This window comes from Homo sapiens, chromosome 16 (assembly GCF_000001405.40).
Source record: "Homo sapiens chromosome 16, GRCh38.p14 Primary Assembly".
Classification (NCBI taxonomy): Eukaryota; Metazoa; Chordata; class Mammalia; order Primates; family Hominidae; genus Homo; species Homo sapiens.
The window spans coordinates 83,772,723-83,786,554 of NC_000016.10; the positions used below are offsets into that span (position 1 = coordinate 83,772,723).

The window sequence follows — 13,832 nt, forward strand, 5'->3', positions numbered from 1 at the left end:
ATTTTTGGAACCCTCCTTTCATGGATACACCACCCCTCACCTCACTTCCCTGCTTCTGCCTTACCTGTGCTTTCCCTGTGGCTTACCTGGATTATCACAACCAGATCCCCTGCAGTTTTCAGCCTTGCCAACATCTGAACATGTCAAAGAAAAATGGGCAGGACAGAGTTTGAAAGGCAAAGCCTTTATTCAAGGCTACAATAAGGGAGAGAGATTGAACTAACTCTGCTGAAACAAACAATGGGACGATTTTTAAGAGCTGGGATGAGCTAATGGAAAAGTACTGGAAGATGTTTGTGGGGAGGTTGGTCCATGTGATTAGGCATCTGTGTTTGCTAATGGGTGTTTACTGGAGTTAGGCTCCAACCCTTCCACAGAGACTGAGAGACAGAGACACTATTCCTTTCCATGATTACATTTCAAAGAGATGTCAGGTCCTTGAGAAAAGTGGTCCTGGGTTGCAAAACTAGCAACAGGTTGGAAGATTTACATCTCACAGGGACAGAGAAAGAATTTACAATTGCAAGTTTCTAAAGTAAATGCTTCAAGAAAAGAGAAGTCAAGGCCTATATTAGTCCATTCTCATACTACTGTATAGCTACTACTCGATACTGGGTAATTTATAAAGGAAAGAGGTTTAATTGGCTCATAGTTCCACATGGCTGGGGAGGCCTCAGGAAACTTACAATCATGGTGGAAGGCAAATGGGAAGCAAGGACCTTCTTCACATGGTGTCAGGAGAGAGAAGTGCTAGCAGGTTAAATGCCAGACACTTATAAAACCATCCGATCTCATGAGAACTCACTCACTATCAAGAGAACAGCATGGGGGAAACCACCCCCATGATCCAATCATCTCCCTCCCTCAATATGTGGGGATTACAATTGGAGATGAGATTTGGGTGGAGACACAAAGCCAAACCATATCAGGGCTCTAGAGTCTGAAAGAAGCCCATCTAAAGTGTAGTCCAGCACAGGGGAAGGTTATGGCCCTCTTGGTCAAGCCTATCTATCCTTAGGAGGTAAGGAAGTTCTTCTAGCCTTGCCTCAAACCCAGGGTGAGCATTAGTATATGGTGATTCTCCTGGTGGCTGAGCCACAGGCTCCAACACTGTTCCCCAGTCATGAGGCTCTAAACCACTACCCCACAGAGGCCCATTTCTATAATAAGGTCCTGCTCCCAAGCTTCCTCCTTTCTCTCCATCCTTATCCCTCCCCCTTCCCTGCCTGGCATGGTCTTGTAGCTGGAAGACGAGGCCTCAGCTCTGGGGTCTCATTTCTGCTTCACAAACCTCCATCAGCACAGACTGTCCCCATGTGGAGCCCAGCCCCCTGCTGTTATCTCTGAAAAAGATCTACTCAACTCTATAATCATTTTCGGCTACTGAGCTATTCGTCCTACAGAAATAGTAAATGCTATTTTACTGTGCATGGCCGGTGATACCAGCAAGCCTAGGACATTGGTCCCAGCGCCTATCCTGCCTATTGTCCTACTACAGGGACAACTATGACTATGCTAGCTGGAAATGATGATTCCTTGGGTACCCAGCCTGACTATGACACAGGCTGTCATAGTCATTTCCAGCAAGCAAAATAGGAACAGGAAGCTAAGAATCTCAAATACATTTAGAATGACCTAGTCAAATGCCATTTCTTTTTTTTTTTCTTTGAGACAGAGTCTTGCTCTGCTGCCCAGGCTGGAGTGCAGTGGTGCAGTCTCAGCTCACTGCAACCTCTGCCTCTTGGGTTCAAGCGATTCTCCTGCCTCAGCCTCCAGAGTAGCTGGGATTACAGGCACGTGCCATCATGCCCAGCTAATTTTTTGTATTTTTAGTAGAGACAGGGTTTCGCCATGTTGGCCAGGCCAGTGTCAAACTCCTGACCTCAAGTGATCTGCCCACTTCAGCCTCCCAGAGTGCTAGGATTATAGACCTGAGCCACCACACCCGGCCTACCATTTATTTGTGAAAAAAAAATAAAAAATTCCACTTACATGGGTTCCCCAGAGTCGTCAGATTCATAGAGACAAGGAGTGGAATGGTGGCTGCCAGGGGCCAGGGGAAGGGGAATGGGGACTTGGTGTTTAATGGGTCAGAGTTTCAGTTTTGCATGGTGAGAAAGTTCTGGAGATGAATGGTGGTGATGTTCCCACAACAATTTGAATGTACTTAACACCACTGAACTGTACACTTCAAAGTGGTTAAAAATTGTCAATTTTATGTTATGTATATTTCACCACAATGAAAAGAACAGCTCATAAGAAGGAAGCTGTAAATAGTAATAATAATAACCTGGAATTATGGTTTAGGGATTATAGCTTGCTTTCATGGTTAAAATGAGAGCCTGTAAGACTCAAGCTATGTAATAAAAATTCTGGTGGAGAAAGTATAGGTTAATGCTTGCTCTAGAGAAGGAGGCCTGACACTCACGGTGTCCATTTGAGCCTGTCCTAAATCTCTCTGGACCTCAGCCTCACCATACCTACAATGAATTGGCCTCAGATCTTCTGCTCTGATCTTGCACCAAGCCTGGGCTTGCAATCTGCGTGTCTGTGGACTCTTCAGGTATATTTCTGAATGCAGGTGCGTTTCTCTGGAGGCAGGGGCCATGACCTTCAGCAGATTCCCAATTGGAAACTCACCTCCCAACCACGTTGAAGACCTGAAAGCTGGAATGGTTCATCTGTCAGCAGTCCTTACAGCTCCTAACATTATAAAGACAGAAGCCCCTACAAACTCAGCCAGACCCCCACATGTTTAGAAGTTAGACTTCTCTGATCCTTAAAATGGCTACCATGAGAACATGGCCCCTGGGCTCCCTCCAGAAGGGAGCTGCAAAGAGGGAGTCCCATTCTAGCTCCATTTCTGGGTGTTTTGCTCAAATTGACCTGTTTTCCCTATTGAAAGAGAAAATTCCGGCCAGGAGTGGTGGCTTATGAGCCAAGATCGTGCCACACTGCACTGCAGCCTGGGAGACAGAGCGAGACGCTCTGTCTCAAAAATAAAAAAAAAGAAAAAAGAAAGAAGTAAAAGAAAAGAAAGAGAAAATTCATAAAGGAGGGACCCCGTCTTCACTGTGCCTTGGTTTTGATTCTTGGTTATGAGTGGTTCCATGGTGGTGGAGGCTGCTGATGGAAAGAGGAACAGAGGGGTGAGGGATTTTTGCTGAAAATCTAGAGAATACTTAGAAGCCCCTATATTTCCTGGGCCCCAGAAATGATTGGAGCCAAATGGGCTTGTGAGGAATTTTGAAATTTTGAATTTCACCTGAATTTTGGATGTGATTTTTCTCTATCCCGTGCATAGAAACTGAGAGAGGCTCTTTCCCTCAGGATTTTGTGAATCTTGTCTTTAACTCATCGCCCAAAGTAACAAACTCATCTTACTAACTTCAGAAAAAGACATCACCAGCCTGGCCTGGGAATAACACATAGGAAATTGAAGACAGTAGTATACTTAAGTTCACAAAAGGCCAATTCTTATGGCCGTATTTCAAATGCTCATAACGCCTTCTCATCCATTCTACCAAATGACTTGTCTTCATAATATATTCAGAGTGAAAAAACATAATGGATTCTTCCGAGATATTCAATTAGTTCAATAAAAAGAGAAAAATAATTTTTCAGTAAAGAAATTTAACTAAATGACTAAAACTGACAGTGAAAAACCAACTTCAAAGTAATTATGCATTTCTTTTGAGTTTGCGCTCTAACGAAAGTTGATGATATGCCACCATTAGAAATAGCCATCCTTCAAATGATCAATTGCATTTGTGTTGCTATTTTAGCAGACATTTATTTGAATGTTTACTCTGTAGCTGTCTTTGGGTGTTGATATATTTAAATTTCCACCAGCCCCGCTAAAGAGTATCGGCTCGCACTTCTTCATGACTCACTGCTCAGCTTCCTTTAAGCTGGTTTTTTCCCCGTTAACAGAAACCTCTTCCAAAAGTGTCACCAGTAACATTCTCCTTACAAAATCCGGTTACTTCTCTTCACTTCTTATCCTCGTAGGGGTCATGACACATTTAATTATGGGTCATTGACTCCTCTTCCAATTCTCTCCTGCAAAACTAGCATCTGCTCTTTAAACTTTGGGGTCTCTCAGGATTCCGTATTCCACCCCTCTGGCATTCTGAACTTTCACCCTGGGTAACCACTTTGTTAGAGAAGTTTCAAAGCCATCTATGTGTTGATGACTTCCCAACCCCTAACTCAGCCTGGGCACTTCCGCCAAGCTGCACAGGTGCATTGAATTCAAGGGGTCGTTAGCACAATCAAGACTGAACCGCTGGTCTTCCCACTTCCCACTGCACTCTGCTCTTCGGGCAGCCTCATCTGAGTGCTTGATCACCAAGAAAAGACACTGCTTTCCTGCTCGAGCTGCACACATCATGCCTCTCTTCATCCATGGCTGGTCCGCCTGCCTGCAGGGTCTCACATTTCCTATCAATCCAATCGTGTGCTTTCTGAAGATAAGTCAGATCAGATTGTTCCTGGATCACTGCCTTTCCGGAAAGCCTCTGGTGGCCTCGTGCACTCTGTAGAATTGGTACAGGTCCCTTGTGATGCTACTCAAGGCCCTCCAGGAGCCCATGCCATCCTCAGTGCCCTCAGCTCTGGAGGAGCAGCTCCACCACGGCACCCCATGACTTTGCATGTAGAGCCACATGGGGAGGGTATGACCTGCAGCTGCGCTGAGTCTTGGCAGAACACCCTGCGGTCCCCCAGCCAGTTTCTCATTGCCTTCCGGGTTCTGTGAGGTGCGGGGGCTTTCTGCCTGCCCCTCTCAGGACACAGCTGCTGCTGTAAAACTGCTGAGAAGCAGCTTGGAGTTGGCTCTACTGCAACATCCCTTCTTTCTGTTGCAGTTGTCCATTCCCTTTTATTCTGCCATGACCTGCGCCAAGGCCATCATGCCCACGCCTGCTTCTACTGTCTAAGTAATAAGCTGTCTGCATCTAAAGAGGTCTCCTTGCTTCTTTGCTAGGACTTGCCTGCGTCCTGTATGCCAACTTCAAATACTCACTACCCTTCTAACCCCCGTGTAACCTGATAGCCTAACTGCAAACTTAATATGCGTTTCAAAACATAAATATAGTACAAGAGAAAATAAAATTATACTTGGAAATCTGGCTAAGTGAAAATAAGGATTAGAAAAATAAAAGAAAGCCATAGGTTAGATTAGTACTGTATAGTATTAGTTTATTAAACTGATAAGAACAGATCTGTACTTCATCTTAGCCAAGAGGCCAAGAAACGATTGTACTACTGTATAAAATTATGGTGCTGTAATTTTAGAGGTGCTTCAAATTATTTTGGGAATAAGGCAAATCTGTATACTTAAAATGTGTGACCTATGAATTTGGCTCTAACCTTTCTTGCAGAAAATTAGAAACTACTAACAAATGGTTTGTCCCAAGAGCAAACCTCTAATGCACAAATGATTAAAGATGAACTCAGAGAAAAATGAAGGCAAGCTGAGTTTTATTAACATTGTTTAATGTTTAAGTGAAATACATTATTAGGGCTGGGCACAATGGCTCATGCCTGTAATCCCAACACATTGGGAGGCCGAGGCAGGTGGATCACTTGAAGTCAGGCGTTTGAGACCAGACTGACCAACGTGGTGAAATCCCATCTCTACTAAAAATACAAAAATTAGCTGGACATTGTGTTGCACACCTGTAATCCCAGCTACTTGGGTGGCTGAGGCATGAGAATCACTTGAACCGAGGAGGCAGAGGTTGCAGTAAGCCGAGACCACACCACTGCACTCCAGCCTGGGTGACAGAGTGAGACTCACCAAAAAAAAAAAAGAAAGAAAGACATTATTAGATTGGTGATTATGAGGGCCATTATCTTAAAATAGTATTTCCTAAAATGAAAAACATTTCAGGAAGTAGCTGAAATATCAGGAAAAAAACAAGGCTTTAAAAATAAGGTCCAAAGATTATATGATGATTGCTTCTATGCCCCTGTAGCCAGCTAGTGATCTCATTTCTCATCACTAACCCAGCTTTCTAAATCTGTCCTGTCCAGCAGGGTCAGCCATCCCAGCCCCCAGTGGCACCATCAGCCATCTGAGACTCTTTTTCACCCCCAGAAGAAAATGTCTTGGATTTAATCTTTCCCTCTTTAGTCAACTCCTCAGTTAGAGTAGAGCTACAGCAGTGAAACCATGGCCATCTCTCACGGAGACTCCGTCCTCCCCCTGCCACCAACATGTGTGAATACCTGGCTACTTATGTAAAAGATTTAATTTGATAAGTGAGGAAAAGTCATATTTATCTCCATTCTTTGAATAGATTTCAGTGTGTGAGAATGACTTTTTAGTGTGTGTCAGAAGCTTAGTATTCTAAGGGTAAAGTATTAAGCCTAAAGAACTTCAATCAGAAGTCTTAAGGCCGGATGCGGTGGCTCATGCCTGTATTCCCAGCACTTTGGGAGGCCTAGGCAGGCGGATCACGAGGTCAGGAGTTTGAGACCAGCCTGGCCAACATAGCGAAACCCCATCTGTACTAAAACTACAAAAAAATTAGCCGGGCATGATGGCAGGTGCCTGTAGTCCCAGCTACTCGGGAGGCTGAGGCAGGGGAATCGCTTGAACCCGGGAGGCGGAGGTTGCAGTGAGTCGAGATTGCGCCATTGCACTCCAGCCCGGGCGACAGCGCGAGACTCCATCTCAAAAAAAAAAAAAAAAAAAAAAAAAAAAAAAAGTCTTATATATGATAAAGGGCTTTGTAAACCACTAAACTTTATACCAAAAAAATCTATTATTGTTAGTCTTGTTTGCAACTATTAATAACAACTGAGAAATGGGCTGGGCATGGTGGCTCACGCCTGTGATCACAACACTTTTGGTGTCTGAGGCAGGATGATTGCTTGACGCCAGGAGTTTGAAATCAGCCTGGGTAACATAGTGAGACACCGTCTCTACAAAAAATACAAAAATTATCCTCTTAGATGTAAATGCTAAAAAAATAAAGTTAGCCAGGTGTGGTGGCGTGCACCTGTGGTCCCAGCTACTTGGGATACTGAGGTGGTAGGATTGCTTGAGCCCAGGAGGTTGTGGCTGCAGTGAGCCATGATCGCACCACTGCATTCCAGTCTGGGCGATAGAGTGAGACCCTGTCTCAAAAAATAAAATAACTGCAAAATATACTAAGTTTACAATGCAAAAAGTGCTATGGTAAATTGCTCTCGCATATACCAGTTGCATACCAACATCTTCCCTTTTTCCCACAGGCAACCCTCCCGCTACGGGCACTGGGACTTTGCTGATAACCCTGGAGGACGTGAATGACAATGCCCCGTTCATTTACCCCACAGTAGCTGAAGTCTGTGATGATGCCAAAAACCTCAGTGTAGTCATTTTGGGAGCATCAGATAAGGATCTTCACCCGAATACAGATCCTTTCAAATTTGAAATCCACAAACAAGCTGTTCCTGATAAAGTCTGGAAGATCTCCAAGATCAACAGTAAGTCTGGCTAAAGCATTTCTGCCTATTCTTCCAGCTTTCAGTTTATTTTCTCTTTCCCAAAATGCTGTTTCTCTACTGTTCTCTCAAGTATTCTCATTTGGTTCATTTTAAGTTATTGGCATATTATAAATACTGAGAATTTTCCCACCAACAAACAAATGCAATTTATAAAAATATTGAATATCTGTTTCAAACACAGACATTTTCTCTTCTGCTTCCTCTCTGATATTTTCTATACTGTACACCCTGTGTTGTATATCCTAACCTGTCTGCTACATACACTATTTAGTATAACTCCAATATTCTATCTTTAAAATTTTCATATATTTAGGGGGCACAACTGCAGGTTTTTACATACATACATTGCATAGTGGTGAAATCTAGGCTTTTACTATCCCCATCACCCAATAGTGAACTTTCTCTTAACTAATCTGTAGTTTCTGCCATCCCAGAGTTCCCAGCCACAAGACTGTGATTCTTTGTTCTTCCTCTTTCTCTTCCTTTTTTCTTTTAATTAAACTCCACAGATTCTTTGTTTGTAACTAGCTTACAAAGAATATTGGCCAACCTGCCCAGTCTCAGACCTTGAAAAGATAGGAGTCTCTGCTTCTCCCCAGCTATCTCTTGGCTCAGCTGTCTTTCCAGTCTCAGAGACAGAGAACTGTGTTAACATTAACTTTCACCAGCGCATTGGAGAGGCTTTTCGTGGTGTACCTGCTGTCATAAAAGACTAAAGGAAAGAGAAGTGCTAGGATAAGAATCTTTATAGTCTTCAACCTCCAACCTTCCATAGTACGCTGCAGACCTCCTCAGACTTGACTTGGTTTAATGATGACCTTGGGTTTTTTTTCAAATCCTTGGCCACCATTGACTTTGATGTCTTCTTCCATGCATCTTCTTTCTCCTTTATAAAACTTGCAAGCAATGTCTCCTCCCACAAGTCCTTCCACATAGGCAGGTGGAATTCAAAACTTAACCCAACTTCTATCACTTGCCTTATTAAGACTGAAACACCAACATATTAATATGGAGTATCCCTATATCCACAATCTCACCCACTTTCTTCCCCAAATGTAAACTAACTACCAAGTTCACCTTGTCTTCCAATAAAGTAAAAGAAAAAAGAAAAAGAAAGACATTAGACACTATGTCTTCAATAATATACTTATCCTGCTGTTGACCCCGTCAGGGTTCCCACTTCTTATGTCAGTGGTAGAACTTTTGAGGGAGACAGAGAATTACGCATTTCATTAGGTTTTGCAAATGTATTGTACAATTGTGCATAACATTTTCTATTTAAAAATCTCATATCTATTGTTATAGCCCTATCTCATATCTCATTTTTTTAGTGCCTTTTGCTTGTTATTGATTCTATTTGCCTGTTTGTCTATTTTATTGCTTTTTAAATAATGAATTCTGTTATACTGATTATTTTTAATTAAAACAGACCTTCTCTTGTTTGAGGGGTTAGTGTTTTATTTGCTAGTTTTTATGGCTATAGCCTATTTGAATAATCATCTCCAGTTCTTTCCAATTGGAACTTTCTCATTCAAGAGTTTCTTTTTTGGGGGCGTGCAGAGGGGGGTGAGCATCAGGATAAATAGCCAGTGCATGTGGGGCTTAATACCTAGGTGATGGGATGATTTGTGCAGCAAATCACCATGGCACATGTTTACCTATGTAACAAACCTGCACATCCTGCTCATGTACCCCGGAACTTCAATTAAAAAAAAAAAGAAGAAAAAAAAAAAGATTGTATCCTCTACTAAAGGAAGATGGGAAAATGCTGTTTGATTTAATCTGCCATCTCACTAGGTGAGCATCACATTAGTCATTGCTGCTCCTGTCACCTTCTGGTAATGATCATGCTTCATGTATTTTTATTTCCCTGTCATTACTCTCTTGTTTTTTCTCCTGGTTTTACCTAATAGATAAATGCCTTCTAAATGATTTTGTTGTCTCACAGTTTTTTTTTCTGAATATTTAGCCCTGTTTATTCCCAGAAAGGGGCACTTAAAAATACATATGACCCTAATCATGTGAGTGACTTTATCTCAAGGCTAAAGAATAGGCCAGCTGGTGCAGCCACTGCCAAGTGTCACCCAGGGGCCTGGGTGATGGTGGCTATTGCCACCGCACATGACATCAGGGAAGTGGAGGGGAAGCTTAAAGATCCAGTCTCTATGTTGCGGGTTCCCACCCAAATGTAGAGCTGTGGACAGAGGATTGATCAAAAAAAACAAAAACAAGGCTGGACTCAGTGGCTCACACCTGTAATCCCAGCATTTTGGGAGGCCGAGGCAGGCAGATCACCTGAGGTCAGGAGTTTGAGACCAGCATGGCCAATATGGTGAAACCCCATCAGTACTAAATATACAAAAATTAGCTGGGCATGGTAGTGTGTGCCTGTAATCCCAGCTACTCGGGAGGCTAAGGCAGGAGAATCATTTGAACCCAGGATGCGGAGGTTGCAATGAGCCAAGATTGCACCACTGCACTCCAGGCTGGGCAACAGAGTGAGACCCTGTCTCGAAAAAAAAAAAAAAAAAACTAAAGACAAAAAATGTAGGCTATAGAACCCATCTCCATGATAACACATTAGGGTCCTGCCCACATTGAGAGCAGGTGGATTTTCACCTTAGCTTTCTAGATGTGGAACGCAGTCTTTGTCAAGATGGCTTTTTCGTGTAATAAATTTGCAGGGAGGAGTTCTTGGTAATCAATCATCTTCATGAAAGGAGCTCTCCTTGAAACTGATTATAATCGCGCCGAGGCACAGAACTCTGGTGATGGAAACACTCTGTCTCTGTGTTGTTCATTACAGGAGCCAGCAGCCATGTGTGGCTTCTGGGCACTTGGAATGTGGCAGGTGCCACTGAGGATCTGAACTGGTATTTTCACTTGATGTTAATGAATTTAAATGTAAGCATTCGCACAATTATAAATGAAAATGCAATGCCTGTTTGGTGTGACTTTCATCACCAAAACCTCACTCTTTTATTGGAAAAAGTCTCATCCACTCTCACCAGAACCCTCCTTGCCTTTACAGATACACACGCCCTGGTAAGCCTTCTTCAAAATCTGAACAAAGCAAACTACAACCTGCCCATCATGGTGACAGATTCAGGGAAACCACCCATGACGAATATCACAGATCTCAGGGTACAAGTGTGCTCCTGCAGGAATTCCAAAGTGGACTGCAACGCGGCAGGGGCCCTGCGCTTCAGCCTGCCCTCAGTCCTGCTCCTCAGCCTCTTCAGCTTAGCTTGTAAGTTGACCTAACTCCAGTGCATGCACAAACAGGAAATTGTAACTTCACTGGGTTCGTGAAGCCAGCATTTTCCCATATACCTTTCCAAGAAGATGTTTCCCAGAAGAATCATTCATCTTTAGTGTATGTCTGTATGATAGAACATGTTATATGTAAAAGTGCTCCCACTGATGTTTAAAGGCATCTTAACAATCCCTGCCAGCCAGTCTGAGGGATTGTGCAAAGGTGTTCATTGCTAGCCTGCAAACTAGGTGGTAAGCAAAACTTCCTACAGCTGCCACTCAACTTGAGCTAATGAAAATGCGCCCAGATTAGTTAACTAGTCTATCAGAGGCCTGTTTCTCTCTACATTATGCAGAATAATCTTTTGCAAGGTTAAAACAGATATTATGAGACTTTCTGAGAATAGTCGTGAGAATTTATGGATGGAGGGTGGGCTGCAGGGAAAATGATAAATGCATAATTTACACTGTTTTTTCACTGGCTAGTAATAATGACTATAATATCATGAAACATTGTTTTTAACAAATGAATTATTATGCCAAGTAGTATAGATGTGAGGATAAAATTAATAAATACATGTCTCAGATATTCCTTATTTATGAAATACTAGTCCAATGTTAACTTTAGCCGTTATTCATATATAACTGTTACCATCCAAAAGCCTTTTGGGCCTTGCAATTTACCTTTTGAGAACGTATCGGTGTAATTGTGAATTAGGAAGTTGGGAAATTGACAGAAAAAGAAAACAGAAGGTTTTTTATCCTACTGACAGTGGTGAGCTGCCAGGAAATCACATAGTACAACATTGGACATTCACGTATATAAAGCTCTGTGCAAGACCAGAGTCCTGTGAGTAGAAGGAAAAATGAAGGGCCAGGCACGGTGGCTCACACCTATAATCCCACCACTTTGGGAGGTCGAGGTGGGTGGATCATCTGAGATCAGGAGTTCAAGACCAGTCTGGCCAACATGGTGAAACCTTGTGTCTACTAAAAATACAAAAATTAGCCAGCCATGGTGGCACATGCCTGTAGTCCCAGCTACTCGGGAGGCTGAGGCAGCAGAATCACTTGAACCCGGGAGGCGGAGGTTGCAGTGAGCCAAGATCATGCCATTGATCTCCAACCTGGGTGACAGAGCAAGGCTCTGTCTCAAAAAAAAAAAAAAAAAGGAAACAAGAAGCCATTATAGCATTTCACTGGCCCTTCAGACTGGGCATTTCTGAAAGCGAACATATCATCTTCCCCTCCTGACCTGCCCCTCTGCCTGACTTGTCTCTGATGACTGTACCACCACCATCATCATCACCATCATCTCCATGTCTCCTTCCTGGTCTTCCCACTGCAAAGCCCAACAGAGTCTAAGGGTCCAACACTTTCCATCCATCCCTGCCTCCACCCTCCTGTCTCAGGTACTAATGTCACTTAACCTCGATTATCTCACTGGCTTTCTAACTTTATCTTCTGCAAAGAGAGAGAGAAAATAGAAATCAAGAGGCCACCCCTCGGAGGCTTCTCCTGAGTCTTTTCTGTAAAGCAGAGACAATTTCAGATGAAGGGTTAGAGATGGGAGTGGGGACTGAGAAGAAATTAGGAAACCTTGTCAAAGCACAGATAATTCGGCTGTACAGCAATTGGGCTAAACGTTGAGCAGGGGTGGTCCAGAGGAGTTTGTATACTGTCTTAGTCCATTCGGGCTACTATAACAAAATACCATAAACTGGGTGGCTTATAAATAACAGAGATGTATTGCTCATGGTTCTGGAGGCTGAGAAGTCCAAGAATAAGATGCTGGCAGATTCATTGTCTAGTGAAAGCCCACATTCTGGTTCACATATGGCGCCTTCTCCCTGCATTTTCACATGATGGGAGAGGCAAGGCAGCTCTCTGGGGCATCTCATCCCATCCCATCCATGAGGACACTGACTTCCTGACCCACTAATTTCCCAAAGGCCCACCCTCGTAGTACCATCACCTTGGGGATCAGGTTTCAGCATATAAACTTTGGAGGGGCACAAACTTCAGAGCATAGCAGATACCATGAATTTATAGCAACACATTATGCTTGTTTGCCCCCTTGCTTTGCTGACAGATATCCTAGACCTAGATTTCTAGAGTGTAGGAATGTTCCCTTCGTGAGGGTATGCTGTCTGGGGCCTGGTTTGCTGAGTCATCACTAGCAACCTGCAAGTCACTCTTGCATAGTATCAGCTGGGGAGATGGTGGTGGATCTCAAGTCTGGCTGCACAACAGAAGCACCTGGGGAACTTTTAAAAGTAGCTACCCATACCTGAGCCCTACCCTATGGCTGGAAGGGCAGCTTAGACATTTGTCCATTTTAAAGCCTCACCAGGTGGTCCGAAGACACTGGGAAATCAGGACCGTCCTGGTGAGTGACTCCAACGTTTAGGTACAGGCTCCTGGACATTCTAACAGTGTCCTCCAATCTTGTCCCCACCCTAAAGACGTGCTGGTTCCTTCGGTTCACAACTCAATAGGAAACAGGTGGAGGAGAGTAAAGTTAAGAATACAAGTGTGAAGATGTTTGCTACCGATGGTGCCAGAAAACCTGGCACCATCCCTCCTCCAGAGAGGAGGGTACGGTGAGATGACAGAACACATCCAGTATGAGAATTTCTATAGCACCAACTTTCCAGAAAGTGTTTCAGAAGCTTACAGAATTAAAATGTGAACCAGACAGGAAGTTAAACTTGACAAGGAAGAGAAACCAACTAGGAAGAGTTGGGGATGGAGTTAACTGACACTAAATTTGGCCTGAGCTTCTCATTGGCTTGCCGTACACAATTGCCACTGTGTGATAAGAGCAACGTGTTAATTGCAGTGGTAGTTCCTAAATGCTGCTGCACGTCAGAACCACTTAGGAAACATTTTCAAACTACGAATTCCTGAGCTCAGTGCCCTAGAAACTTTCATTTGTGCTCTAGATTACGACTTGAGCTTGAGGAATAGGGCGTTGGGGAATGGTAATGAATGGACGCATGGACAGACAGATGGATAAATGAAAGGAAACATATTTCTCCCTCTTTTCTTTTGTTCTTTTTTTCTTCTTTCCTTTG

At 43.3% G+C, this 13,832-nt stretch overlaps 1 protein-coding gene, 1 long non-coding RNA gene and 1 pseudogene across 10 annotated transcripts in view; 1 reads left to right on the forward strand and 2 right to left on the reverse strand.

Annotated features, from left to right (window-relative positions):
- The window catches only part of CEDORA (CDH13 antisense oligodendrocyte and neuron associated lncRNA), a 52,560-nt gene extending 52,333 nt beyond the window's left edge, over nucleotides 1–227 (reverse strand). For all 5 annotated transcript variants that reach the window (NR_188498.1, NR_188499.1, NR_188500.1 and 2 more), the window contains exon 1: nucleotides 87–227. This is a non-coding gene — a long non-coding RNA (CDH13 antisense oligodendrocyte and neuron associated lncRNA). The remainder of the gene's footprint in view (nucleotides 1–86) is intronic.
- CDH13 (cadherin 13) overlaps nucleotides 1–13,832 on the forward strand; it is a 1,173,672-nt gene that overhangs the window by 1,145,754 nt on the left and 14,086 nt on the right. For all 5 annotated transcript variants that reach the window (NM_001220488.2, NM_001257.5, NM_001220489.2 and 2 more), the window contains 2 exons: nucleotides 7,246–7,479; nucleotides 10,532–10,750. In NM_001220488.2, the coding sequence (NP_001207417.1) occupies nucleotides 7,246–7,479; nucleotides 10,532–10,750 (453 nt within the window). The remainder of the gene's footprint in view (nucleotides 1–7,245; nucleotides 7,480–10,531; nucleotides 10,751–13,832) is intronic.
- LOC124903810 (uncharacterized) lies at nucleotides 5,146–5,261 on the reverse strand (annotated as a pseudogene).